The sequence below is a fragment of the Homo sapiens genome, chromosome 12, assembly GCF_000001405.40.
Source record: "Homo sapiens chromosome 12, GRCh38.p14 Primary Assembly".
Lineage (NCBI taxonomy): Eukaryota > Metazoa > Chordata > Mammalia > Primates > Hominidae > Homo > Homo sapiens.
This window is the reverse complement of record NC_000012.12, coordinates 56256321-56282608: the sequence shown is the minus strand read 5'-3', so window position 1 is coordinate 56282608 and position 26288 is coordinate 56256321. Positions and strand designations below refer to the sequence as shown.

Below are 26288 nucleotides of genomic sequence, written 5' to 3'. Positions count from 1 at the left end.
GTATCTTGGCTCTCAAAAGAGTGGGCAAAGAGGGCAGCTCTGCCTTCCCATGTGGTCACCATGCTGGACAACTTTCCCACCAATCTACACCCCATGTCTCAGCTCAGTGCAGCTGTTACAGCCCTCAACAGTGAAAGTAACTTTGCCCGAGCATATGCACAGGGTATCAGCCGAACCAAGTACTGGGAGGTAGGAAATTTGGGTGGGGTGATCGGTGTGTGATGGGGATTCAAAGGACTTGAGTGTGAAGGGAGGGAAAAAATACAGAATCTTTAGAAAAATTACCTCTGAGTTAATCAGAAACTAACTTAACAGATTTTCATTGGAGGCTTGTTTTTTGTCAGTTGTTGGAATTACAAAGCTAAGTAGAGCATGGTTTCTATCACCAGGACTGTTTGTTTGGTTAGGCTGACACACGTGCAGAAAAAAGAAATTATTAAAATTCCATAGTCGGCCGGGCACAGTGGCTCATGCCTATAATCCCAGCACTTGGGGAGGCCAAGGCGGGCAGATCACGAGGTCAGGAGTTCAAGACTAGTCTGGCCAATATGGTGAAACCCCATCTCTACTAAAAATACAAAAATTAGCCAGGCGTGATGCCGGGCGCCTGTAATCCCACCTACTCAGGAGGCTGAGGCAGAAGAATCACTTGAACCTGGGAGGTGGAGGTTTCAGTGAGCCGAGATCGCACCACTGCACTCCAGCCTGGGCAACAGAGTGAGACTCCATCTAAAAAAAAATTCCATAGTCTTGCTGTAACAGAGGTATGTACACATGGCTGTTGAAACGGAAAAGAGACCTAGGTAGGTGGCTCACACCTATAATCCCAGTGAGTCATGATGCTGAGGTGGGAGGATTGCTTAAGGCCAGGAGTTTGAGATCAGCCTGGGCAACATAGTGAGATCCTATCTGTACATAAAAAAGGAGAAAACAAGAAAAGAAAAGGATGTGACTTAACTGCAGGGTCCCTGAGGAAGGTTTCACAGAGCAGTCTCATGCTAGCACCAGAGGGTCACTTTCCCTCACTATCTTCTTCAAATACAGAAAACTTTGAGAAATCTTACAAGTTGGGAGAACAGCAATTGCAACTCTGGAGTCTAGGAGGACTAATGCCAGTCAGTCATGTTCTCGGCTAGCCAACCTAAGATACCCATCAGGAGTGGGAGAGTGGTTAGTATCCTTGGAGTAGGCTCCAGATCCAGAAACAAATGAGCTTTATTCTCTGAAAATGAAAAGTGTCCTTAATAGTTTACAACGCTGGTTGGGGTATGGAAAGATTGTTTCTTATCCCAATGCATAGTACATAATTCCTTCCATCCTCTTCTAGTACCCCACAAACTCAGAAACACTGGGTAAAAGTACAAATGATCTGGCTAGGTTTACAGGAGAATGTACCATTTTCTTTTGTTCCTTATTTGGAGATAGGTAGTATAGGAACAGAAAATTTTCTTTTTACAAAGCAGGTACATTAAATGATTTTTGGCCAGGAGGTGCCAGCCACCAGGAAGGCCCTAAAGAGTTCACTGTGGTGCAAGACACAGAAGAGCATGACCCACTGCTCTGATGCAACCACCTTGGGTCCTTGGCAAATCTAGATTGATTTAGTTGGTCAATATTAATTTGGCACCAACTGTGTGTAGAGAATTGTGTTTGCAGTTGAGGAAGACAGAGAGCATTTAAAATTGATATTAACTTGGTTGGCATTGGGGAGTTGGTATCAGAATGATGCAAAATATACACATTCACACCACATAAAGCATTTATTTATAAAGGCTTATTTATAAACACTTTAGGTGGTATGAATGTGTATATTTGTACCTGCACACATTAGCAGGTACAAAAGGTCATATAATCTTAATATTTTGTTTTTCATTTTATTTATTTATTTATTTTTTTGAGATGGAGTCTCGCTGTGTCACCCAGGCTGGAGTGAAATGGCATGTGAACCACCGTGCCCAGCCATTTTTATTTTTATTTTTTTAGAAATAGGTCTCTCTCTAATCACCCAGGCCAGGATGCAGTGGCATGATCATAGCTCACTGTAACCTTGAACTCCTGGACTCAAGTGATCCTCCTGCCTCAGCCTCCCAAGTAACAAGGACTACAGGCACATGCCACCATGTCTAGCTGGCATTACAGGCGCACACCACCACTCCTGGCTAATTTTTTTGTTTTTTTTTTTTGTTTTTTTTGGGAGACGGTGTCTTGCACTGTCACCCAGGTTGGAGTGCAATGGCACGATCTCAGCTCACTGCAACCTCCACCTCCTGGGTTCACACAATTCTCCTGCCTCAGCCTCCCGAGTAGTTAGGATTACAGGCGCACACCACCACACCCAGCTAACTTTTTGTATTTTTAGTAGAGACAGGGTTTCACTATGTTGGCCAGGCTGGTCTCGAACCTCTGACCTCGTGATCTGCCCACCTCGGCCTCCCAAAGTGCTGGGATTACAGGCTTAAGCCACCACGCCTGGCCTTGTCTTTTTAATAGAGTTTCACCATGTTGGCTAGGCTGGTCTAGAACGGCTGGTCCAGAACTCCTGACCTCAGGTGATTCGCCCACCTCTTCCCCAAAGTGCTGGGATTATAGGCGTGAGCCACCACCCTGGGCCTTTTTGTTTGTTTGTTTTGTTTTGTTTTTTGAGATGGAGTCTCGCTCTGTTGCCCAGGCTGGAGTGCAGTGACACAATCTCAGCTCACCACAACCTCTGCCTCCTGGGTTCAAGCGATTCTCCTGCCTCAGCCTCCCCGGTAGCTGGGACTACAGGTGCGCACCACCACGCCTGGCTAATTTTTGGTTTTTGCTTTTTTGCTTTTGTTTTGTTTTTTTTTGGTTTTTTTTTTGAGATGGAGTCTCGCTCTGTTGCCCAGGCTGGAGTGCAGTGGTGCGATCTCAGCTGATTGCAAGCTCCGCCTCCCTGGTTCAAGCAATTCTCCTGCCTCAGCCTCCCGAGTAGTTGGGACTACAGGCACCCGCCACCATGCCTGGCTAATTTTTTGTATTTTTAGTAGAGTCGGGGTTTCACCGTGTTAGCCAGGATTGTCTCGATCTCCTGACCTCGTGATCCACCCGCCTCAGCCTCCAAAAGTGCTGGGATTACAGGCGTGAGCCACCGCGCCTGGCCTTGTGTTTTTAATAGAGACGGGGTTTCACTGTGTTGGCCAGGCTGATCTTGAACTCCTGACCTTGTGATCTGCCTGCCTCGGCCTCACAAAGTGCTGGGGATTATAGGAGTGAGCCATGGTGCCCAGCCTTCTTGAGCTTTTAAGGAGTTGTTTTTACATATACCTTAAGAGGATGATCTTCTGCACAGAACATTTCTTCTATAATAATTTCCATTAACTCTAGATGAATAGTGTAATCTCTTGAGTTGAAAGAGTTTAACTAGCTTCTAGGCCTCTAATTGACTTAAGGTCACTCAGAACAAGGAGATTGATTGCTCTGATGCAACCAGCTGTTTAATTGTGAAGTAGCCTTAAGCTGTTGAATTTAGTCAAATTTGTGAAGTAGCTGACAGATCAAGTTTTGCTAGTAGGCCAGGCGTGGGGACTCATGCTTGTAATCCCAGCACTTTGGGAGGCCAAGGCAGGCAGATCACTTGAGGTCAGGAGTTCAAGACCAGTCTGGCCAACATGGCGAAACCCCATCTCTACAAAATAATACAAAAATTAGCTGAGCGTCCTGGTGCACACCTGTAATCCCAACTACTCAGGAGGCCGAGGTGGGAGAATCGCTTGAACCTAGGAGGCAGAGGTTGCAGTGAGCCAAGATAGCACCACTACACTCCAGCCTGGGTGACAGAGCGAGACTTTGTCTCAAAATAAAATAAACCAAAAATATATGCTTTTTATTTACCAACTTTTTTTTTTTTTTTCCGAGACAGAGTCTCTGTCGCTCAGGCTGCAGTGCAGTGGCACGACCTCGGCTCACTGCAACCTCCGCCTCCCAGGTTCAAGCAATTTTCCTGCCTTGGCCTCCCGAGTAGCTGGGACCACAGGTGCAAGCCACCACGCCCATCTAATTTTTGTATTTTTAGTAGAGATGGGGTTTTGCCTTGTTGGCCAGGATGGTCTTGATCTGTTGACCTCTTGATCCGCGCTCCTCAGCCTCCCAAAGTTCTGGGATTACAGGTGTGAGCCACCGTGCTTGGCCTGTTTATCAACTTTTTAAAAAGTGACATGGGCTGGGTGCAGTGGCTCACGCCTGTAATCTCAGCACTTTGGGAGGCCGAGGAAGGTGGATAACCTGAGGTCAGGAGTTTGAGACCGGCCTGGCCAATATGGTGAAACCCCATCTCTACTAAAGATACAAAAAATTAGGCATGGTGGCGCACGCCTGTAATCCCAGCTACTCAGAAGGCCAAGGCACAAGAATCGCTTGAACCCCGGAGGCGGAGGTTGCAGTGAGCTGAGATCGCACCATTGCACTCCAGCCTGGGCGACAGGGTGAGACTCCGTCTCAAAAAATAAAAGTGGCATGAGTTAATAATGTAAGCTAGGTAACGCTTCTTGGCTACATGGGTGACCTTGTGCAAGTTAACTTAGCTAAGCCCCAATTTCCTCATTTATAAAAAGAGGTATATGTTACCTTACAGGATTATTGTAAGAAAAGAAAAAGTAATACTGCAAATAGATAGCACAGTACCTGTTGCATAGTAAGTGCTTAAAGAATGGAAGCCTCGGCCGGGTGCGGTGGCTCACTCCTGTAATCCCAGAACTTTGAGGGGCCAAGGTGGGCAAATCACCTGAGGTCGGGAGTTCAAGACTAACCTGACCAACATGGTGAAACCCCCCTCTACTAAAAATACAAAATTAAGCCAGGCATGGTGGTGCATCCTGTAATCTCAGCTACTCAGGAGGCTGAGGCAGGAGAATGGCGTGAACCCGGGAGGCGGAGCTTGCAGTGAGCCGAGATCGCGCCACTGTACTCCAGCCTCGGCGACAGAGCGAGAATCCATCTCAAAAAAAAAAAAAAAAAAGAATGGAAGTCTTTGTTATTAAATAACAATTGCATATCACTGTTTGATCCTTGGCACATACAGTGAATTTTCTTTGAAAGATGGAACATAGAATTCATTATTAAAACCTAGTGTCTTTTTTTTTTATTTTTTGAGACGGAGTCTCACTCTGTCGCCCAGGCTGGAGTACAGTGGCACGATCTTGGCTCACTGCAAGCTCCACCTGCCAGATTCACGCCATTCTCCTGCCTCAGCCTCCCGAGTAGCTGGGACTACAGGCGCCCACCACCACGCCTGGCTAATTTTTTGTATTTTTAGTAGAGACGGGGTTTCACCGTGTTAGCCAGGATGGTCTCGATCTCCTGACCTCATGATCTGCCTGCCTCGGCCTCCGAAAGTGCTGGGATTACAGGCATGAGCCACTGTGCCCGACCCCTTTTTTTTTTTTTAGACAGAGTCTCGCTCTGTGGTCCAGGCTGGAGTGCAGTGGCACTATCTCGGCTCACTGCAACCTCCACCTCCCGGGTTCAAGCAATTCTCCTGCCTCAGCCTCCCGAGTAGCTGGGATTATAGGCGCCGGCCCACACCACGCCTGGCTGATTTTTTGTGTTTTTAGAAGAGACCAGGTTTCACCATGTTGGCCAGGCTGGTCTTGAACTCCTGACCTCAAATGATCTGCCAGCCTCAGCCTCCCAAAGTGCTGGCATTATAGGCATGAGCTGCCGTGTCTGGCTGTAAAACCTGCTGTCTTAACACATTGAACGTCAAGTCATGGTGTAGTGAAAAAGATCATGATTAAACATATCAGAGGGCCAGGCATGGTGGCTCACACCTATAATCCCAGCACTTTGGGAGGCCAAGGCAGGCAGATCACCTGAGGTCGGGAGTTTCTAGACTAGCCTAACCAACATGGAGAAACCCCGTCTCTACTAAAAATACAAAATTAGCCGGGTATGGTGGCACATGCCTGTAATCCCAGCTACTCAGGAGGCTGAGGCAGGAGAATCACTTGAACTTGGGAGGCGGAGGTTGCAGTGAGCTAAGATTGCGCCATTGCACTCCAGCCTGGGCAACAAGAGTGAAACTCTGTCTCAGAAAACCATATCAGAGTTCAAACTTGACTTTAGCATTTAACCTAATACTATGAGCCTTAGTTTACTCATCTTTAAAATGGCAGTCATTATATACTTTGTAGTAGTAAGCATTGGGAATAATGTTTTAGTGTACATTAGATAGTATTACAAATCACTTAGTGCCTGGGTCATAATAGTTATTCAGTGAAATGGTTATGATTGTTATTCTCTACTTTCAAACATACTCAATATATAACAACCCATCATATAACTAACCATCAACCCAAATAGCCCCAATTCATGGAGGACAGACGATATCCCTGCCTAATTCTTCTTTGCTGATAATTCCTTTTTTTTTCTCCATCTTGCTCCTCTTCTGTCAGTTGATTTATGAAGACTCTATGGATCTAATCGCAAAGCTACCTTGTGTTGCAGCAAAGATCTACCGAAATCTCTACAGAGAAGGCAGCGGTATTGGGGCCATTGACTCTAACCTGGACTGGTCTCACAATTTCACCAACATGTTAGGCTATACTGATCATCAGTTCACTGAGCTCACGCGCCTGTACCTCACCATCCACAGGTAAGCTAGACCCAGCAACCACAGCCACTAGGTGCCTCAATTGGTGGGAAATTTTTTTAAAAGCTCCTTTATGTTCTCATCTTCTGAGAACAGATGATAGGCAGCAAGAAGACAGAAACGTGGCATAAAGGATGATCCAAGGCAAGAAAGGGGTCTAGTAAGCAAGGTCAGGAGGCCTAAAGAAATTACTGTAACCATGCTAAGAACAAGATGGTGCTTCTGGCTGGGAAAAGGTACTAGCTGCTCACATTAGATGGTCCTTCAGCTTTCCAGGAGCTCGCTCTTTGGGGCCATTGCTATTAAAGCTAGGTTGGAGTCATGGAGCAGAGCATACAGGCATCATCAACCAGTAACCTCTCCAGCTCTGTGGATGAGTGAACAAAAGCTGGTAATGAGATTAGGATGCTTTTTTTTTTTTTTTTTTTTAGATGGAGTCTTGCTCTGTCGCCAGGTTGGAGTGCAATGGCGCAATCTTGGCTCACTGCAACCTGCACCTCCAGGTTCAAGTGATTCTGCTGCCTCAGCCTCCCAAGTAGCTAGGACTACAGATGTGTGCCACCATGCCCAGCTAATTTTTGTATTTTTAGCAGAGACGGGGTTTCACCATGTTGGCCAGGATGGTCTTGATCTCTTGACCTCATGATCCACCCGCCTTGGCCTCCCAAAGTGCTAGGATTATAGGCGTGAGCCACTGTGCCTGGCCAAGATTAGGATGTCTTTTACAAGAGTTTAGGTATAACTGACTGGCTATAGGCTGGCATGAGCCCATAACTAGGCTAGTAAGTGGCAAATAAGAGAACAGCAAAGTTTCCATAATCTGCCCCTTCTTTCTTCCCTTGGCTCTCCCTTCTTACTTCCCCACAGTGACCATGAGGGTGGCAATGTAAGTGCCCATACCAGCCATTTGGTGGGCAGTGCCCTTTCCGACCCTTACCTGTCCTTTGCAGCAGCCATGAACGGGCTGGCAGGGCCTCTCCATGGACTGGCAAATCAGGTAAGACTATTCTTTTTATTTTCCTGCTACATGTTTTCCTTACCCCATGCTTTGTTTCTGATCTTGGCATTCTCTTCTGGCATATGTATTAACATTCCCTTTTTCCCCAAACCTTACCCATAGGAAGTGCTTGTCTGGCTAACACAGCTGCAGAAGGAAGTTGGCAAAGATGTGTCAGATGAGAAGTTACGAGACTACATCTGGAACACACTCAACTCAGGACGGGTAAGCAGAGATGCTTAACGACTAGGAAAGAAACCAAGACACAAGTTCTGCAATTTGGAAGAATTAAGAAAAGAATGAAAGAGGTCCCTAAATTAGAGATTTTTTTTTCTTCATTTATCTACCTTGAAGAATTTAGAAAAGAATTTCTAGGTGGGCACAATGGCATGCACCTGTAGTCCCACCTACTTGGGAGGCTGAGGCAAGAGGATTGCTTGAGGCCAGGAGTTTAAGGCTGCAGTGTGCTAAGATCACTCCTGTGAATAGCCACTACACTCCAGCCAGGACAACACAGCAAGACCCCATTCTCTAAAAAACAGTTTTAAATAGGTTGAGTGTGGTGGCTCACGCTTATAATCTTAGCACTTTGGGAGTCCAGGGTGGATGGATCTCGTGAGCCCAGGAGTTTGAGACCAGCCTGAGCAACACAGACCCTATCTTTTTTTTTTTTTTTTTTTTAAAGACAGTCTTGCTCTTGTTGCCCAGGCTAGAATGCAGTGGCGCAACCTCAGTTCACTGCAACCTCCGCCTCTCGGGTTCAAGTGATTCTCCTGCCTCATCCTCTCGAGTAGCTGGGATTACAGGCATGCGCCACCATGCCCGGCTAATTTTGTATTTTTAGTAGAGACGGGGTTTCTCCGAGTTGGTCAGTTGGTCAGGCTAGTCTAGGACTCCCAACCTCAGGTGATCTGCCCACCTCAGCCTCCCAAAGTGCTGGGATTACAGGCATGAGCCACCGCACACGGCCAGACCCCATCTTTACCAAAAAAAAAAAAAAAAAAGCCAGATGTGTTGGTGTGCACCTGTGGTCCCAGCTACTCTGGAGGCTGAAGTGGGAGAATTGCCTGAGCCTGGGAGGTCGAGGCTGCCGTGAGATGTGATCATGCCACTGCACTCCAGCCTGGGTGACAGAGTGAGATCCTGTCTCGAAAAATAAAAGAATTTCTACTGAGAATACTATCTTTTTTCCTCACTCTTTACAGGTTGTTCCAGGCTATGGCCATGCAGTACTAAGGAAGACTGATCCGCGATATACCTGTCAGCGAGAGTTTGCTCTGAAACACCTGCCTAATGACCCCATGTTTAAGTTGGTTGCTCAGCTGTACAAGATTGTGCCCAATGTCCTCTTAGAGCAGGGTAAAGCCAAGAATCCTTGGCCCAATGTAGATGCTCACAGTGGGGTGCTGCTCCAGGTAAGTCCTCCTTTCCCTCTTTTCCCTCTAATTTGTACCAAACCCTATTGTTATCTGCCATGCACAAAGTCAATTAACTCCTAGTCAGAGCAGGGACTTCCCTCACAGAGCATTTTGATAAAGTTGACTATGAGAGGGTTGGGGGTTGGGGTTGCTCTGTTTTCAGAATCCCAATTGCTATACTTTTCTCAGTGTCATTTCTATTTAAGGTTGACTGGGCTAAGTCCTTGGAGAAAAATGGAAAATTTAGCTTTTAAGGTTTCTATCACCTAGGACTTGTACATGCCACTGCCTCTGCCTTAAATGAAATATTTTTCTCTTCTACCTTACAGTATTATGGCATGACGGAGATGAATTACTACACGGTCCTGTTTGGGGTGTCACGAGCATTGGGTGTACTGGCACAGCTCATCTGGAGCCGAGCCTTAGGCTTCCCTCTAGAAAGGCCCAAGTCCATGAGCACAGAGGGTCTGATGAAGTTTGTGGACTCTAAGTCAGGGTAAAACTGGAGACTGGGTGAAAGTGACTACCAGAAAGTGAGGAAGCCTAAATAAAAAGTATACTTTTGTTTCAGGGGGCCTTTAAAGACTTAAGATTAAATTATATCTGAGGCACTGATAATATGTTTGAGGTTAAAATATAAATTAAGACTTTAAAAGATGAAAAATGGTCCCTTCTTCCCTAATCAGCTCCCTTCCCCTGCCTGGTATGAGTTGCCCATCATACGCATGGTCCTGGAGGATGACCAGGACTAATGCATGTGGTATGAGTAGGTTTGGCCCCCTCACTATCTCTAGAGTGAGAATCTGGCTCCTGTTTCCATGGGTCAAAGCCGGTTGCAGAGAATCTGTAGTCACTTTGGAGCTTTAGCTTCTCTGCCAAGCCCTCAATAAGCCAGCAAACCAGGACTCTGCCCCTTCTGTTTCCATAGGAATCATGTTGGATAGTCAGCTGTACCAAGCCCCTTGGCCCTCTCCCATGCACACAAACACCTCCTAGCAAGACCTGTTGGTTAGCTGGACATGCTTTGGCAATTTTTTTATACTACCAAGTGACCATAAAGGCATGGCATTTGTTGTGACTGGCACCCAATGTTTGATTTTTTTTTTAAAACTATCCAATTAAAATTAAGGTCTGGGAGTGTTCTGTTTCCCATTACTTTAATACTCACCTCCTCCCAGACTTTCTACACCTGTTGCACCTCAGGCAGAGGATGTTCTGGACCTCCCCCTCTTGGTCCCTACTAGAGACCTCTCAACAGATCTGTGGGCCCAGTCATTGGGTTTTATCAGTGCTTAATGTGAACTAAGTTTTTTACTTCCACAGAATACAAGCCACTACCTTCTGACCTCCCCACCCCCCACCAACCCCCATCTTTTAATATGCTGTGGGGCATAGAACTCCGGAATGACCAGCATGATATTTTCAGAGTCTTGTCCCCGGGGTATTAGCACCTCTTTTTGAACAGGGAATTGATTCAAGATTGGACATGGTCTCCTCTGATTATCAGGTACTGGGGCTGAGGGCATTAAAAATAGTAAGCCTCCCTCCTCGTCCCCTGCCTCAAGAAATTGCCTCCTTATTTATCAACATCTTTTTCCTCCCTTTCCCTGAGAGCTCACAGTACAATGTTTCAGAAGCCCCATTTGCACAGGTTTTCAGCAACTCAGAATGCTCTACTTCTTTTTCTTTGAGAAAGGATTAAGATACACTCCTGCTGTGCCCCCATCTTTCCTCCAAACTCCTGCCTGTGTTTGTGTGGATACCCAGTCCCAGAACCACACTGTTGAGTTGGACACACTGTAAACCCCTGGGTAACTGTCAAGTCATGATGGAGACTTCAGGTTGTTCTGTATAAAATGCAAAATAAATGTTTTTATTAACAATGCTTGAGCCTATTATTAAATAAGGCCTGGAAGAACCTTTATTATGAGGTAAGGAATCTGGCTAGCAAGATCCTGAACTTAGTGGGTTATAAGTAATCTGTATCCATTTATCTTTAGGCAGGTTTGGCTTTCTTTTACCTTAACCAGAGGAAAGCCTCCCTGAGAAATTTCCAGAGGAGATTTCTGTCCTTCCTCAAGGTTAGGAAGTCCTTGATGTTTAGCCCCTAACCTTGCTAATTTTGTTGTAAGGTAACATACTCAAGGGCTATAGCTGAGATTCTCAATTGCTTATGTGACTAATCCAAGAACTGGTCTAGCCCACTGAGAGAAAGGAACAAACTACCAAGGACGAATGGGCTAGTACTGCTACCTCAGGACCAGAGCCACTAGAGGGCTCTGGTACTTCTTGGAGTGCCTGCTCTTTATAGCTTCCCTGAAGGAGGTCCCAAAAATAACAAGAGGTGGTCCTGAGGGCATCACATATATGGGAGGTCCAAGACCAGATGATTCTGTCCTGAGATCCCTGCTGCAACTGACCTTCTGAAAAAGTCTATAAATAGACAAGGGGGTGGGTACTAGGTCCTGGCTTGTAGAATGTGCTACTATAGTTAGCAGGGACACTGTGTCCAAGAGGCCTTCTTATACCTTCACTCCCCCAGGAAAAGAAGCCATAACTTCGTTCTACTCTACTATATCTACATTATTGCCCCAAGAAACAATATAATAAAGCCAAATTCACACTGTCACAATTTATTGAAATTTTATAAAAACTCAGGCCAAGTGGAAGAATAAGGTACAACTCAAGAGTACAAAGACAACTCCGTTTCCGTTCAGTACTTTTCTCCTCAGCACTGGTGGTAAGAAAGCCCCTTGCTCTCTAGTAGCCAGGCAGCATGGACTTACAGTCTTAAAATGAGGCTTTATGTATTTCAGGCTGGAGGCAGGTTGCCTTTTCTCCTGAGGAATCTCAGGCAGGGTAAAAGTTACTTACCACTCAGTACCTCTGTGCCAGAAGAAAAGCTCAATTTATTCAATCCTTAGAAAAGTTACTATCGTCCCCTGGTCAGACACTAAGGTGTCTTGATAAGGTCCAGAGACAACCACATAGTCCTTATTCTAATTCGTAGTGAAAAGGCTGCAGGCATATGGTGCTCCTACGATGGGCCTGACCCTTTCCTAAGCACATCTCATTTCCACATCCTTTGCCTTCTCTTTCCCCCAACATTTCCAGCCAGCATAGAACCCAATTTCTGGGAAATTGAGAGGAGAAACAGTATTATGAACACAGACTCCTTTCAAATTGGAACAGGAGCCAAACCAAATAAATAAGAGAATTGTGTAGGGAAGTGGGGTAGAAGGGAGGTCAGGGAGCAATCCCTTGCCTCAAGTCTGGTGCACCTCATGGAACATCAGTTCACGGGGGATGGCTGTTTCTGGACCAAACTTGGTGGCTGCCCGACGCTCAAAGGCAGCAACATTCTGTTTGACAACCTCATCAAAAAACATGGTGGCCAGCTGGGAGTGCAGCAGAGAACGAAATTCAAAGGAAATCTGGGAATGGGTAAGAGACAGTCAGAAACTTCCAGACCATGTTGGATAGTCCCTGGCCAAATGCAAGGAAACTGTTCCTCAGTGCCTTTTCTCCCCCTCCCCATCCAGTTCGTGGATCCCCGTAAGAGCCCTAACTTGGGACTGAGCACGGAGTACGAGTCTGACACAAGCTCAGACTAACTGACTTGGGAAATGCTAGCTATACTTAAAGAATAACCCTGTCAGGTCGGTGCGGTGGCTCACGCCTGTAATCCCAGCACTTTGGGAGGCCAAGGCGGACGGATCACCTGAGGCCAGGAGTTTGAGAGCAGCCTAGCCAAAATGGTGAAACCCCGTCTCTACTAAAAATAAAAAATCAGTCGGGCTTGGTAGCAGGCTCCTGTAATCCCAGCTACTTGGGAGGCTGAGGCAGGAAAATCGCTTGAACCCAGAAGGTGGAGGTTGCAGTGAGCCAAGATCGTGCCATTGCACTCCAGCCTGGGTGACGGAGCAAGACTCCATCTCAAATAAATTAATAACCCTGTCACAGTACCCCAGCCCTTCCTCATACCCAGTCCTCGTCCTCTGCTACACAACCTCCTGACTCACCGAAAAGTCCACAGTGCAGGTTCGAGGATAGGCAGGAATACCAGGGCTGAATCGCCAAATAGTCTCTAAGTGGTTGAAGAGCTTGCCATCAGTACAAACAGCCTAGAATAGGGTAATCAGGTAGTTAAATAACATTACTAAGTATAGGATACAATATAAAGGAATTGAAAGCCATTTTCCTTCTTTTCTGATATGAGGGAAATACTTGACACATGGACATAAAGTACTTACAAGGAAGGCCAAAATAGCACTTTCATATGAAACTGCTAAAAACAAAAAATCTTGTCAATCCCTCCCATACAGGCCTCACCTTGACCATGTGAGGTTTGACCATGGAAACTGCAGAGGTGTAACGTTCCATGACAGGTGGAAAGCCAACCTCCAGCTGGGCTTTCAAATGACCCTTACGGCTGGATACCACCAGAGACTTCTTACACCAGGGCACAAACTCACGATACTCCTGGACGTTGGACACCACCTCATACATCTCCTGCATTGAGTACCTAGGAGAAGAAGAATCACAGGCCAAGGAGCTGCCAGCTGGGTCAGGTTCCTCCTTGCTATAGGCCCCTAATTCATACCTTTGCCCACTAACCACGCACCTTCAGGAACTACAGATCCCAAATAAGCCTGGATGAATAACTTCCCAAAAGCAAACGTGTAAATCCTTATGATACTGTTACCTTATATTTTGCAGTTTACAGAATGCTTTTGCATTCATTGTTTATTTTGATTTTAAGAGGGACCATCTAGGGAGAACAGAGGCTGTCAGTTTTACTGGTGATCACACAAGGATCAGATCCCAGCTCTTAACAATTTTTTAACAATGTGGCCTTAGGTAAATTACCTGTGTCTCCATTTTCTCACCTGATTTATAGGTTTGTTGTGAGAATTAAATGAGAAATATCTATGTAAAACATCTAAGTCAAGCTGCTAGCATGTAGCAAGTGCTCGATAATTTAGCTATTATGCTCAAAATATACTAAAAAGGTTACGCTGCTAATTTACACATACTAGGTACCCATAAAAATTATTTTTAAATGGTCACCAGAAAAATACACCCTGTTTTTTGTTTTGTTTTTTGAGACAGTCTTGCTCTGTCGCCCAGGCTGGAGTGCAGTGGGGCAATCTCAGCTCACTGCAACCTCTGCCTCCCAGGTTCCAGCGATTATCCTGCCTCAGCCTCCCAAATAGCTGGGATTAAAGGCGCCCGCCACCGTGCCAGGCTGATTCTTGTGTGTGTGTTTTTTTTTAGTGGAGACAGGGTTTCACCATGTTGGCCAGGCTGGTCTCGAACTCCTGACCTAAAACGATCGGCCCGCCTCAGCCTCCCAAAGTCCTGGGATTACAGGCGTGAGCCACCGCACCCAGCTACGCCCTGTTGTCTTAAAGTATAGTCCAACCCTAGTCTCATTTCACTTAAGCACATGCACAGCAACCAAGAAGGGAGAAATTAAGGTCGGAAGAGTGGCAGGGGAGGACTGAGGATCAGTATTGTAGCTGGGGAGGGGGATGGCTAGGGATGAATCTTGCCCACCGATGATACCCTGACATTCTTGCCTGGACAGGGTTATTTGGAGGGAAAAGGGAGGTGCAAGGATGCAAGGCAGAGAATGCTTACCCCATGATTCTACGCTCCGAGTAAGCCTTTCGCTTGTTGGTGAAGGGAGCAGCAAATCCCATGAAGGAACGGCTCGAAGGTAAGCCAGCCTCAGCCGCCAAGATCTGGGCAGCCCGAGGCAAGAGGAGGCTGCAGGAGGTCAGAAACCTAAGGCCAAAGGAAAGAGGAGCCAACCGTATAGTTCTTCGTAATCCTCTATCATTTGTAGGTGAAGGAGAAGAAGAGTGCATCCCAGACGAAGGTCGTCCAAACAAGCTTTCCCCCCAGCACCTGCTGCAGCCCGCTAGGCTCTCTCTGGCCAGGGAGTCACGAGTGCAAAAGGTCGAGGGCAGCTAAGGACAGGGCTGGGGGCGGGGTGAGGGGGATGAGAAAAAGGGGTGTGTGGGAAGCGCCAGTTGCCTTTGACTGGGCCTACACTACTGCTGAAAGCTAAGACTTTAAGGAAGCATCACTGTCCCCGGGGACCCCAGGGCGCCCGCGAGGGCCAAGAAGAGGTTGGACACTCACCCCGAGAACTTCCCTTCTCGTACAACTTGCAAAAGCATTATCCAAAGCTCTACGTTAGCTCCCAGGGCATGATTGCTGCCAGTCCCCGCCGCGCCTGCATCCCAGTATAGCACCCCTCCACCGCGGAACCCCGGGGTTCGCAGCGACCCCCTGCCCTCAGCCGCGGTCACCTCCCTCTCACCTCATTGGTCGCGGCGGTGGCAGAGGGCCTGGGGGCGGGGCCGGTTGCGCGCCCGGGCTGAGCGAGAGCCGGCAGCAGCGCTCGGCTGCCGCGCGCGTCCCAGCTGGGACCCGCCGCGAGCCCGCCCAGGCCATGCGCGCGACCCTGCCTGGCCCTCTAAGTTCTGACGCGGGCTGCGCCCTCCTCACTCCAAAGGCGGAGCGGCAAGAGGCAGCGGCTGGGCTGGTTCGGGACCTCTGAGCGCAGGGGCGACGGGAGGCGGCAGCACCTCTCGCCTTGCTCCCGTCCAGGCTGCCGGGTAGGCTAGAACTGAAGCCGGGACCGCTGCTCCCGCAGATCTCGGTACCCCCACGTCACGCTGTTGCCATGGCTCGGGCCTGGGAGAGGAAGGAAGGAAGGAAGGGGACAACGCCGCCTGTCGGGAGATGTAGTTTCACACCTGTGGCGAGAAAGGGCACTGGGGTGTGCGTTTGAGAAGCTGCAAAGATGGTTCGGGGACTGAGGTCGCCTGTGGTCACAGGACCCGATAGGTAGGCACAGAGGCGACTTCGTGGGCGTGTCTACCGCAGATATCTGTAGATCCTCTGAACGTCGCTGTTAGAGCCTTAGGTTCTCTAGAGGGACATAGTGAATAGGATAAATGTATATATGAAAGGGAGTTTATTAAGAATTGCCTCACAGGATCACAAGGTAAAGTCTCACATTAGGCCGTCTGCAAGTTGAGGAGCAAGGAGGCCAGTGGTGGATCAGTCCAAGGCCCAAAACCTCAAAAGTAGGGAAGCCGGCAGTGCAGCCTTCAGTCTGTGGCCAAAGCCCCGAGAGCCCTTGGCAAACCACTGGTGTAAGTCCAAGAGTCCAAAAGCTGAAGAACTTGGAGTCTGATGTTCGAGGGCAGGAAGCATCCAGCATGAGAGAAAGACGAAGGCCGGAAGACTTCAGCAAGTCAGCTTCTTCCACCTACTTTTACTTTTATTTATTTATTTATTTATTTATTTATTTATTTATTTATTTGAGACGGAGTCTCGCTCTGTTGCCCAGACTGGAGTGCAGTGGCACGATCTCAGCTCACTGCAACCTTGGCCTCCCAGGTTCAAGCGATCCTCCTGCCTCACCACCCCCGCCCCGCCCCCCTCCCCAGTACCTGGGATTACAGGCATGCGCCACCATGCCCAGCTAATTTTTGTATTTTTAGTAGAGATGGGGTTTCGCCATGTTGGCCAGGCTGGTCTCGAACTCCTGACCTCAGGTGATCCACCCGTCTCGGCTTCCCAAAGTGCTGGGATTACAGGTGTTAGCCACCATGCCTAGCCCTGCCTACTTTTTCTAGCGTCGCTGGCAGCGGATTGGATGGTGCCCACCATTGAGACTGGGTCACTTCCTTCCAGTCCACTGACTTAAATGTTAATCTCCTTTGGCAACACCCTCACAGACACTCAGGAACAACACTTTGCCTCCTTCAATCCAATCAAGTTGACACTCAATCATCACAGAGCCTTTATCATATTCGGCCTTGTTTATAGTTAGAAGCACTGTTCATCTTTGTAGCTTCCACAAGTGGTTAGTGCTGTGTTCTACATTTTTGGGAAAGGAGATTAACATTCCAAGCTCTGGGCTAAGACTGCATAGTTTTTACCTTTAATATTTATAGAAAGAAGTCGAGGTAGGAAGAACCAGATATTCTTAGGACAGAGAACCATCTTTGTTTGAAAAGTGTGCGCTTGATGAAGAGTGAGACCTCATGGACAGAAACCCACGCAATTAAATACCACTATACTACTTTTCATGATTCAAGGAGAAAAAAAAAATGCTCTTGGCTAGGCATGGTGGCTCACGTCTGTAATCCCAGCACTTTGGGAGGCTGAGGCGGGCAGATCACTTGAGGTCAGGAGTTCAAGACCAGCCTGGCCAACATAGTGAGACCTTATCTCTACTAAAAATACAAAAATTAGCCAGGTATGGTGGCGGGCGCCTCTAATCCCAGCTACTCGGGAGGCTGAGGCAGGAGAATCGCTTGAACCCAGGAGGCGGAAGTTGGAGTGAGCTGAGATTGTGCCACTGCACTCCAGCCTGAGCAACAGAGCAAGACTCCATCTCAAAAAAAAAAAAAAAAAAAAAAGGAAAGAAAGAAAAGAAAAGAAAGCAAGCGAGCAAGAAAGAGAAAAAATGCTCTTGATAAAAGTCAGGTGGGCCAGGTGCGGTGGCTCATGCCTGTAATCTCAGCACTTTGGGAGGCCGAGGTGGGTGGATCACGAGGTCAGGAGATCGAGACCATCCTGGCTAACAGGGTGAAACTGCATCTCTACTAAAAATACAAAAAATTAGCCGGGCGTGGTGGTGGGTACCTGTAGTCCCAGCTACTCAGGAGGCCGAGGCAGGAGAATGGCATGAACCCGGGGAGCGGAGCTTGCAGTGAGCCAAGATCGCACCACTGCACTCCAGCCTGGGCAGCAGTGCAAGACTCCATCTCAAAAAAAAAAAAAAAAAAAAGTCAGGCAAACAAAAGAAAAAAAGGAAGGGAAGAAAGAAATCAACAATTAGAAAGAGATTGGGCTAAGTGCAGTGGCTCATGCCTGTAATCCCAGCACTTTGGGAGGCTGAGGTGGGAGGATCACTTGAGGCCAGGAGTTCAAGACCAGCCTGGGCAACATAGTGAGAACTTGTCTCTCCAAAAATAAAAAAGAAAAAAAAAAGAGAGACTAGAACTAGGTGGGTGCAAGAGAATGGTGGTGCCTGCTGTTGAGTTTTAAGAAATTCATGCTATTACAGTACAAGCCTTTCCTCTGCTTGCTTTCTAAATCTTCAGTCAAGCTCTCCACTTTCAGGAAATCTTTCCCTGAGAAGTGTTGTGTGTGGTGGTTATGCAGAGGGGCAGGGGATAAAGTAAATAAAGACTGTGTTGTAGCCAGGCATGGTGGCTCATATCTGTAATTGCAGCACTTTGGGAGGTGAAGGTTGGTGGATCACCCGAGCCCGGGAGTTTGAGACCAGCCTGGGCAATATGGTGAAACCTTGTCTCTACAAAAAATACAAAAAAATTTAGCCAGGCATGGTGGCACATGCCTGTAATCCCAGCTACTTGGGAGTCTGAGTTGGATCACCTGGGCCCAGGAGGTTGAGGCTGCAGTGAGCCGTGATTGCACCACTGCACTCCAGTCTGTGTGACGGGAGTGAGACCCTGTCTCAGAAAAACAAAAACAAAAACAAAAAAAGACTGTGTTGCAATTCTTGTCCAACTAATCTGGAAGAGACATCTGGTCTAGAAACAGGGTAGCTCTTGGGCCGGGCACGGTGGCTCACACCTGTAATCCCAGCACTTTGGGAGGCCAAGGCAGGCGGATCATGAGGTCAGGAGATCAAAACCATCCTGGCCAACGTGGCAAAAACCCATTTCTACAAAAAATACAAAACATGTCCGGGCGCAGTGGCTCACTGCCTGTAATCCCAGCACTTTGGGAGGCCAAGGCGGGTGGATCACGAGGTCAGGAGATGGAGACCATCCTGGCTAACATGGTGAAACCCTGTCTCTACTAAAAATACAAAAAATTAGCTGGGCATGGTGGCGGGCGCCTGTAGTCCTGGCTACTCAGGAGGCTGAGGTTGAGGCAGGAGAATGGCCTGAACCTGGGAGGCGGAGGTTGCAGTAGGCCGAGATCACGCCACTGCAGTCTAGCCTGGGCGACACAGCGAGACTCCGTTTCAAAAACAAAACAAAACAAAACAAAAAGCCAGATGTGGTGGTACGCACCTATAGTCCCAGCTACTCGGGAGGCTGTGGCAGAGAATCACTTGAGCCCGGGAGGCAGAGGTTGCAGTGAGTGGATATTGTGCCACTGCACTCCAGCCTGGGGGACAGACGGAGACTCTGTCTCAAAAAAAAAAAAAAAAAAAATGCGGGGCGAGATGGTTCGCACCTGTAATCCCAGCACTTTGGGAGGCCAAGCAGGTGGATCACCTGAGGTTGGGAGTTCAAGACCAGCCTGACCAACAAGGAGAGACCTCATCTCTACTAAAAATACAAAATTAGCCGGGCGTGGTGGTGCATGCCTGTAATCCCAGCTACTCGGGAGGCTGAGGTAGGAGAATCACTTGAACCCCAGAGGTAGAGGTTGCGGTGAGCCTAGATGGCGCCATTGCACTCCAGCCTGGGCAACAAGAGCAAAACTCCGTCTCAAAAAAAAAGTTTGAGCCCATCTTCTCTGGATTTCAAGTAAGCAAGAGCCATTGGGTGATCATCAAAACCCATTTTTAATAAGCTGTTCTACCTCTATAGCAGTTAGTACTACCAATTCAAAATAATTATTGACCAAATGAATATGTTTTATTATTTATCTATTTAATTTTTGAGACGGGGGTCTCACTCTGTCACCCAGATTGGAGTGCATTGGTGTAATCTCGGCTCACTGCAACCTCTGCCTTCCAGGTTCAAGTGATATTCCCACCTCAGCCTCCCAAATAGCTGCGACCACAGGGGCACACTACCACATTTTTGGTAGAGACAGGGTTTCATCTTCTTGCCCAGGTTGGTCTCAAACTCCTGAACTCAAGCAATATGTCCACGTTGGCCTTCCAAAGTGCTGGGATTACAGGCATGAGCCACCATGCCTGGACTATAAATGTGTTTTGTCAACTTTTCTTTTTTTTTTTAATTTTTTTTTTTTTTAATTTTGAGACAGAGTTTCACTCTTGTTGCCCATGCCGGAGTGCAATGGCGCGATCTCGGCTCACTGCAACCTCAGCCTCCTAGGTTCAAGCGATTCTCCTACCTCAGCCTCCCAAGTAGTTGGGATTACAGGCATGCACCACCACACCCGGCTAATTTTGTATTTTTAGTAGAGACGGGGTTTCTCCATGTTGATCAGGCTGGTCTTGAACTCCCAACCTCAGGTGATCCACCTGCTTGGCCTCCCAAAGTGCTGGGATTACAGGCATGAGCCACCGTGCCCGGCCGCCACCTTTCCGTTTATCCTCTTCCGTGATACCCCAAGTTGGGTGATGATCTCACTTATTTTCTTTCCTAACATCTCTTCTTTTCGCCTCTGCACTCCAGAGAGAGTCTGTTAAAATGTCCACATCCCCCAGTCCTCCTTTCCACTACTGTAGTACAGTGCCTCCTTCCAGTTCACAAATGGTAATCTGGAGCCACCTTCAGATGGGCACATGACCTTAAAGGACAGATTTACTCTTTCGAATTCCACTGTCTTGTCCAGCCCCACCCGCCTCTGACTAAGGGCTTATACATGTGAGACAGCTGCTTTGAATGAGGAGTAAGGATCTGGTTGGTTAAAAGACAGAAATTAACAGGGATACATAACTGAACTGTGACCTCATTATCACTCTGCCTTAACCAAGTTGACTGCTACAGAATCCCCAAGGTCCAACAGGCCTACCAAGCCAATTTGCTTACTGTCCCCTACTAATTGGTTTAACTAATTACTGCCATTTAAACTTTCCTAGTTTAGTCCCTATACTTGAAACAACCGATTTCTTCCCATGTCTCCACCATTCTACATCAATAACTTCCTTCAAGTACTGACTCAAAACACACCTCCTCCAGGAAGACCCTCTTGACTGAACCCTTCCTTCAACATTACTCTGAACACATAATGCCATGTAATCTAGCATGTATCCTATATTCTGTAGTTGTTTCACATGTATATGTATGTTCATCTACTAAGTTATAAGCTCCTCATAAAGAGACACCATTACTTCTAATTTTTGACCTCCCGACCAATTAGTACAGGGCTGTACATCGGGTGAGTCCTCACATTTAGTCAGAAGAAGGAAAACTGAGGCTTAAAAATAGGCAGCCATCTGTCTAGAGTTACCCAAATATGAATGCTTGTAGTTCAATCCAGAAGGACTGTCCATATAAGAAGGTTTTATCACCACTTCTGGCCTCCTCCTCCCATACCCTGTGTGTCTCCCTGAGCCCTGAAAGTATCAGTGTTCCCTACATCAAATCCCTTTTTTTCCTACTGGGAAATCCTCTTTTGATGCTCTAAATAATATTAAAAATAACTCTTCTAGCCCGTCCTCCTCCCTCCAATTGCCCAGAGAACCAGGCTGGCAACCTCTCTTGTTCACCTCCATCCCCTAGCCAGAACCGGGCACGTGACCCCAGCTGAACCCCTGACTCCAATTCCTCAGGTTACCTAGAGTTATTTTGGGCAATGGATACCATGTATGCCCCTCCTCCTTATCCTCTGGGCCATATCCTAGTTTAGCCCTTCCTGGAAGGCCCATCATACCCAATAGCCAAGTCCCAACACCCATATCCATTTGATCCTTTGCTACCTTTGGTTTCTGCTGCTGCTTCATCATCATCATCAGTCATCAAATATTAAATGCCTGTTTCTCTATACTGATATTCTGGAGCTTAAAAAAAACTATACCTGGCTGGGCACGGTGGCTCACGCCTGTAATCCCAGCACTTTGGGAGGCCGAGGCGGGCGGATCACGAGGTCAGGAGATTGAAACCTCCTGGCTAACATGGTGAAACCCCATCTCTACTCAAAGTTAGCCGGGCATGGTGGCAGCACCTGTAGTCCCAGCTACTGGGGAGGCTGAGGCAGGAGAATGGCATGAACCCCAGAGGCGGAGCTTGCAGTGAGCCGAGATCCCGCCACAGCACTCCAGCCTGGGCGGCGACAGAGCGACACTGGTCTCCAAAAAAAAAGGTGAAATGAGAAACAAAGGTGTACAATTTAACCAGATTGTGGCAGTATAAACTAAGTATGTAAGTGTTAAGGAGAACTAACAAAAGGAAAAGAGCCTATTAGCCAGAGGAGACTTCCTGGAAGAGGTAAGTTTAAATTTCTTCATAATTTTTGTGTGTGCATGGAATCACGGAGTGATTGCTCCTAAGCAATATTTTAACTTTTATTTTCAATATGGTAAAAATTTAAAAAATTCCAAAAGGTATATAGTGATAGGTAAATTTCTCTCTCATTCCTTATTTCCTGTACCCCAGTTTTTCTTTCTGGGAAAAAAGGACTGTTACTAGTGTCTTAAGTATCTTTCTAGCAGGAAAGCAAGGGAAGGCTTTTTTTTTTTTTTTTTTTTTTTGACATGGAGTCTGGCTCTGTCACCCAGGCTGGAGAGCAGTGGCTCCATCTCGGCTCACTGCAACCTCCGCCTCCTTGGTTCAAGTGATTCTCCTGCCTCAGCCTCTCCAGTAGCTGGGATTACAGGCGTGCACCACCACACCAGGCTACTTTTTTATATTTTTGGTAGAGATGGGGTTTCACCATGTTGGGAATGGGAAGGCTTTTTTTTTTTTTTTTTTTTTTTTTTTTTGAGACGGAGTCTCGCTCTGTCGCCCAGGCTGGAGTGCAGTGGCGCAATCTCGGCTCACTGCAAGCTCCACCTCCCGGGTTCACGCCATTCTCCTGCCTCAGCCTCCCAAGCAGCTGGGACTACAGGCGCCCGCCACCCTGCCCGGCTGATTTTTGTATTTTAGTAGAGACGGGGTTTCGCTGTGTTAGCCAGGATGGTCTCGATCTCCTGACCTCGTGATCCACCCGCCTCGGACTCCCAAAGTGCTGGGATTACAGGCGTGAGCCACCGCGCCCGGCCGGGAAGGCTTTTTTGAAATGTATTTTCGCCGGGTGCGGTGGCTCACGCCGGTAATCCCAGCTCTTTGGGATGCCGTGGCAGGTGGATCACCTGAGGTCAGGAGTTCGAGACCAGCCTGACCAACATGGTGAAACCCCCGTCTCTACTAAAATAAAAAATTAGCCGGGCAGGGTGGCGGGCGCCTGTAGTCTCAGCTACTTGGTAGTCTGAGACAGGATAATCACTGAACCCGGGAGGCGGAGGTTGCAGTGAGCCGAGATCGTGCCACTGCACTCCAGCCTGGGGGACGAGAGTGAAACTCCATCTCAAAAAATAAAATAAAATGTATTTTTATTTTTTAATTTTTTTCCTCTCCCCTCAAGGGAGGATTTTTATATATAAAGCCTTGACAGGACGCCAGCATGCTGCACTTCGTCCATTTCGTGTTCTCTTCAATGTGTATTGAGTTGTGAAACTCTGAACAGGACCCTGGATCACCTTTTATAAATTGTATCAATTTTTCAATCTCCACTTTTCGTCTTCCTCCTTTTTCCGTTTCTGGGTTGAGATGACCTCCATTCATTTCTTCTCTAATTGACGGCTCTCTGGCCTCTCCATTGGAGGAGGGGAAGCGCCACAGGCTGTTCTGGGGAGAAATTGTTGAGTGTTTTCCACTTTAACCTTGCAATGGAATCAGTAAGGAGTTGGAAAATGCCCCTTCTGTTGGTCTTGGCGGCCTTTTCCAGCTGCCAGTTGTCATGGCCTCTTTGTGGGTGTTTTCTGCAGTAGAATCCTCCTTGGGGTTTCTCTGCAGTTTGAGCACTTTTGCTATTTCTTCTCTACCGAACTCACGCCTCCGCCAGTGGAGATACACGCTTTCCCTCCCTCTGGGGCTATTGCCATACATAATTCCCAGTTCTCCACCCGCCAGTTCCTCCTAGTCTGTGGGGGATTTCGGGGTGTGGAATCGCTGACGGGAGGAGTTAGCTCGGGCGGGAGCATTGTGGGCTGGGTAAGATCTGGCCAGCCGTTCGGTCCTCAGTTTGGGAAGCACCGCGGGACTAAGGCCCAGGTTTCCGCTAGGGTCTTGTGGGGAACCCCTTGGGCCGCCAGACTGGAGCGGAGAGCACAGCGCGGCCAGCTGCGTGAGCCGGGGAGCCGGCGCGCGAGTTCGGGGGTGCAGGGGCTGCTGGGGCCGCCAGGGTGGGGCGGAGGGCGCTGCGGCCGGGGTCCGTTTGCGCGGGGAGCGCCGGGACCAGGACGGCCGCCAGGGAGCGCTGCGGCCTCCAACTCGCCCGCCCCCCGGTAGGCGGGGCCGCGCTCTCCCTGCAGCCGCCACCGCAGCCGCCGCCTGGGCCGCTCCGTGTCCCCGGTGGAGCCGCCGCCGCCGCCGCCGGGAGCTCGATGCGGACGGAGCCCGGGCCGAGCCATGGGGATCCTCAGCATCACGGACCAGGTCAGCCCTCCTGCCCTTTCCCGCTTCCTCCTTCCAGGGCTCGGCGCTGCCGTCACGCGAGCCCGGGGATGTGCGGCCTAGGCTGGGCCTGAGCCCGGGGCTCCCGCAGCTCCCGCCCCGCCCCATGCCGCGCTCCCCTCAACCGAGCCGGTGTCCTTGGGGACCTGGCAACCGGCGGAGGCACCGCGGGAGCTCGCTCCAGCCAGAATCCCTAGAGTGGAGCCCCTCCACGGACGCCCCCCACTCAAACCTAGGTGCTCCCCCACCCCCACCCCCACACCGGTTCCGCTCCGGCTCCAGCCCGCTCTCAGAATGCCGGTTCTCTCTGCAGCCGCCCCTGGTCCAGGCCATCTTTAGCCGAGATGTGGAGGAAGTGCGTTCCCTACTCTCGCAGAAGGAGAACATCAATGTGCTGGTGAGTTGGGAGCAGGGAGGATGGCGAGACCGGAATCCTGGCTCCCGTGTTCTGGACCCCTCCCCACCGGTGGGGCGGCTCCGTGTCTCCTCTGCTCAGATGAGGCCGCAGTTCTTTCCATCCTGGAGTGAAAGCCTACTCTGCATTTGGGGATGGAGAGCAGGTCAGGCTTGAAGCCCAGATCACTTGGGCTGGGAATGCCCAGGAACGTTGTTCTCTTCTCAACCTCCGGAGTCTGCAGCGCCCCCACCCCTCCTGGAAAAAGGAGCCGGCTTCTCAGCCCATTGGCCCTGACTCCACCCTCCCTAGGTGCTTGCCTTTGACTCCCAATACCGGGACTTAGGACGCTGCAGAAACTATGGGAAGAGGTTGTGGGGAAGGGCCTGGAGCTCTGAGACTTGGGCTGGGGTCCTTGATAGCCCCCTTACCCCGCGCCCATACTCCCTGCTCTTTTTTGCCTTCCCAGGACCAAGAGAGGCGAACTCCATTGCATGCTGCTGCCTACGTAGGCGATGTCCCCATCCTCCAGTTGCTACTGATGTCAGGTGAAAGTGGGGAGCTGGAAGGTGTGGCACATAGGGAGCGAAGGGAGGGGAGGAGTCTTTTTTGATATTCAAGGATTGCTCTCCCCGGCTTGGTCCAGGCGAGGCTCCAGCTCCATTCAGATTTCCTGGCCTGATTACTGGCTTCCTTCATACCTCCTCCCCACCTTCCATCAAAATAGGAAATTATATCCCCACAGGTGCTAATGTCAATGCTAAGGACACACTGTGGCTGACCCCTCTTCATCGTGCTGCTGCCTCCCGAAACGAGGTATGCACCCCCACCTTCTATTACCCTTTCAAAAAGGATAAGTTGCTTAAAGGTGGGGGTTAAGGGTTAAGGAGCCTCAGTCCTCAGCCCTACAAGCTGTTCTACCCCAGGTAGTGAGGAGATCAAATCTTGGCCCCTTCCTCCTACCCCTAGAACTGGCCAGTAAGGGGGTTGAGTGCTGCCAGCTGATGTGACTCAGGAAGAGCTTAACACTGGGCTGGCAGACTGCGGGGGCCCTGCTGCCAGGCCTGAGTGACTCATCCCTCCCTGGGGGGCCACCTTGAGTCTGATCCCCCTCTGGGCACTGAGATTTCTTTTCCTTGTGATGGAGGATGGGTATAGTAATCTGTTGCATCCTTGGCCCTCAAGCAGCTTGAAAGTTGACAGCACAGGGGCCAAACATATTTCATCAGTTGGGTCCTTTATCCTATTCCCATCAGCCCTGAAGACAGGGAAAGGGGGACCTCCTCCTCAGTTCATCACTTCCCTGGCTCCAGCCACCAGGGGGAGGGGCCGAGGCCAGTGGGAATGAGGTGGGTGGTGGTTAGGAGGGGCATTTTAGCTCGGGTTTTGCAAACGAACCAGTATCTGTTTGCTTACTGAGATACTGAAAATAATTTTGGTGCCTATGAGAAGGCTAAAGAGGGTGTTCAGGGCAAGATGTAGCAAGAGCATTTAGTTTTCCTAGAAGTAG

The 26288-nt window shown here is 48.8% G+C and overlaps 3 protein-coding genes across 6 annotated transcripts in view, besides 15 other annotated features; 2 read left to right on the top strand and 1 right to left on the bottom strand.

Annotated features, from left to right (window-relative positions):
• Nucleotides 1-10910, top strand: part of CS (citrate synthase) — a 28632-nt gene extending 17722 nt beyond the window's left edge. The window contains exons 6-11 of the mRNA NM_004077.3: nucleotides 1-189; nucleotides 6414-6613; nucleotides 7478-7607; nucleotides 7731-7832; nucleotides 8813-9022; nucleotides 9355-10910. Coding sequence (NP_004068.2) covers nucleotides 1-189; nucleotides 6414-6613; nucleotides 7478-7607; nucleotides 7731-7832; nucleotides 8813-9022; nucleotides 9355-9525 — 1002 coding nt within the window. The 3' untranslated portion in view covers nucleotides 9526-10910. The remainder of the gene's footprint in view (nucleotides 190-6413; nucleotides 6614-7477; nucleotides 7608-7730; nucleotides 7833-8812; nucleotides 9023-9354) is intronic.
• Nucleotides 11150-11444: a silencer, noted in NCBI's record as "tiled region #15563; K562 Repressive non-DNase unmatched - State 25:Art". NCBI's record gives its function as "represses a minimal TATA promoter and a strong SV40 promoter by Sharpr-MPRA in K562 cells {active_cell/tissue: K562}" and the evidence as "EXISTENCE:reporter gene assay evidence [ECO:0000049][PMID:27701403]".
• COQ10A (coenzyme Q10A) lies at nucleotides 11643-15667 on the bottom strand. 2 transcript variants are annotated; one of them, NM_144576.4, is made up of 5 exons: nucleotides 15357-15667; nucleotides 14669-14815; nucleotides 13358-13550; nucleotides 13048-13149; nucleotides 11643-12459 (listed from the first exon to the last, which is right to left on the bottom strand). In NM_144576.4, exons 1-5 carry the CDS (start codon nucleotides 15488-15490, stop codon nucleotides 12292-12294), a joined length of 744 nt encoding a protein of 247 aa, NP_653177.3. In that variant the 5' UTR covers nucleotides 15491-15667; the 3' UTR covers nucleotides 11643-12291. The 2 variants fall into 2 exon arrangements, with proteins under 2 accessions (NP_653177.3, NP_001092807.1); NM_001099337.2 differs by lacking the exon at nucleotides 15357-15667 and adding an exon at nucleotides 15176-15283.
• Nucleotides 14885-14954: an enhancer, noted in NCBI's record as "active region_6486". NCBI's record gives its function as "activates an Ori minimal core promoter by ATAC-STARR-seq in GM12878 lymphoblastoid cells {active_cell/tissue: GM12878}" and the evidence as "EXISTENCE:reporter gene assay evidence [ECO:0000049][PMID:35858748]".
• Nucleotides 15097-15596: an enhancer, noted in NCBI's record as "H3K27ac hESC enhancer chr12:56660797-56661296 (GRCh37/hg19 assembly coordinates)". NCBI's record gives its function as "activates a minimal SCP1, AML or CMV promoter by ChIP-STARR-seq in naive H9 embryonic stem cells {active_cell/tissue: H9 hESC(naive)}" and the evidence as "EXISTENCE:reporter gene assay evidence [ECO:0000049][PMID:30033119]".
• Nucleotides 15235-15564: a silencer, noted in NCBI's record as "silent region_4555". NCBI's record gives its function as "represses an Ori minimal core promoter by ATAC-STARR-seq in GM12878 lymphoblastoid cells {active_cell/tissue: GM12878}" and the evidence as "EXISTENCE:reporter gene assay evidence [ECO:0000049][PMID:35858748]".
• Nucleotides 15404-15573: an enhancer, noted in NCBI's record as "experimental_29676 CRE fragment used in MPRA reporter constructs". NCBI's record gives its function as "activates a minimal promoter by MPRAs in K562 erythroleukemia cells, with activity observed for both the introgressed and non-introgressed 12:56660905 or rs60542959 variant alleles {active_cell/tissue: K562}" and the evidence as "EXISTENCE:reporter gene assay evidence [ECO:0000049][PMID:34662402]".
• Nucleotide 15488: a transcriptional cis regulatory region, noted in NCBI's record as "Neanderthal adaptively introgressed variant 12:56660905 (GRCh37/hg19 assembly coordinates) or rs60542959 in the experimental_29676 CRE". NCBI's record gives its function as "modulates activity of the experimental_29676 enhancer by MPRAs in K562 erythroleukemia cells {active_cell/tissue: K562}" and the evidence as "EXISTENCE:reporter gene assay evidence [ECO:0000049][PMID:34662402]".
• Nucleotides 15665-15774: an enhancer, noted in NCBI's record as "active region_6485". NCBI's record gives its function as "activates an Ori minimal core promoter by ATAC-STARR-seq in GM12878 lymphoblastoid cells {active_cell/tissue: GM12878}" and the evidence as "EXISTENCE:reporter gene assay evidence [ECO:0000049][PMID:35858748]".
• Nucleotides 18421-18590: an enhancer, noted in NCBI's record as "experimental_29675 CRE fragment used in MPRA reporter constructs". NCBI's record gives its function as "activates a minimal promoter by MPRAs in K562 erythroleukemia cells, with activity observed for the introgressed 12:56657888 variant allele {active_cell/tissue: K562}" and the evidence as "EXISTENCE:reporter gene assay evidence [ECO:0000049][PMID:34662402]".
• Nucleotides 20044-20213: an enhancer, noted in NCBI's record as "experimental_29674 CRE fragment used in MPRA reporter constructs". NCBI's record gives its function as "activates a minimal promoter by MPRAs in K562 erythroleukemia cells, with activity observed for both the introgressed and non-introgressed 12:56656265 variant alleles {active_cell/tissue: K562}" and the evidence as "EXISTENCE:reporter gene assay evidence [ECO:0000049][PMID:34662402]".
• Nucleotides 23967-24026: a silencer, noted in NCBI's record as "silent region_4554". NCBI's record gives its function as "represses an Ori minimal core promoter by ATAC-STARR-seq in GM12878 lymphoblastoid cells {active_cell/tissue: GM12878}" and the evidence as "EXISTENCE:reporter gene assay evidence [ECO:0000049][PMID:35858748]".
• Nucleotides 24037-24586: a silencer, noted in NCBI's record as "silent region_4553". NCBI's record gives its function as "represses an Ori minimal core promoter by ATAC-STARR-seq in GM12878 lymphoblastoid cells {active_cell/tissue: GM12878}" and the evidence as "EXISTENCE:reporter gene assay evidence [ECO:0000049][PMID:35858748]".
• Nucleotides 24225-26288, top strand: part of ANKRD52 (ankyrin repeat domain 52) — a 20578-nt gene continuing 18514 nt past the window's right edge. The window contains exons 1-4 of one of the 3 annotated variants that reach the window (NM_173595.4): nucleotides 24225-24366; nucleotides 24698-24781; nucleotides 25248-25326; nucleotides 25524-25594. In NM_173595.4, the coding sequence (NP_775866.2) occupies nucleotides 24340-24366; nucleotides 24698-24781; nucleotides 25248-25326; nucleotides 25524-25594 (261 nt within the window). In that variant the 5' untranslated portion in view covers nucleotides 24225-24339. Of the gene's footprint in view, nucleotides 24367-24697; nucleotides 25327-25523; nucleotides 25595-26288 lie in introns of those variants that run through there. The other 2 variants (XM_017019183.2, XM_011538197.3) reach the window with 2 other exon arrangements.
• Nucleotides 24607-24676: a silencer, noted in NCBI's record as "silent region_4552". NCBI's record gives its function as "represses an Ori minimal core promoter by ATAC-STARR-seq in GM12878 lymphoblastoid cells {active_cell/tissue: GM12878}" and the evidence as "EXISTENCE:reporter gene assay evidence [ECO:0000049][PMID:35858748]".
• Nucleotides 24737-24786: an enhancer, noted in NCBI's record as "active region_6484". NCBI's record gives its function as "activates an Ori minimal core promoter by ATAC-STARR-seq in GM12878 lymphoblastoid cells {active_cell/tissue: GM12878}" and the evidence as "EXISTENCE:reporter gene assay evidence [ECO:0000049][PMID:35858748]".
• Nucleotides 24867-24916: an enhancer, noted in NCBI's record as "active region_6483". NCBI's record gives its function as "activates an Ori minimal core promoter by ATAC-STARR-seq in GM12878 lymphoblastoid cells {active_cell/tissue: GM12878}" and the evidence as "EXISTENCE:reporter gene assay evidence [ECO:0000049][PMID:35858748]".
• Nucleotides 25223-26215: an enhancer, noted in NCBI's record as "H3K4me1 hESC enhancer chr12:56650178-56651170 (GRCh37/hg19 assembly coordinates)". NCBI's record gives its function as "activates a minimal SCP1, AML or CMV promoter by ChIP-STARR-seq in naive H9 embryonic stem cells {active_cell/tissue: H9 hESC(naive)}" and the evidence as "EXISTENCE:reporter gene assay evidence [ECO:0000049][PMID:30033119]".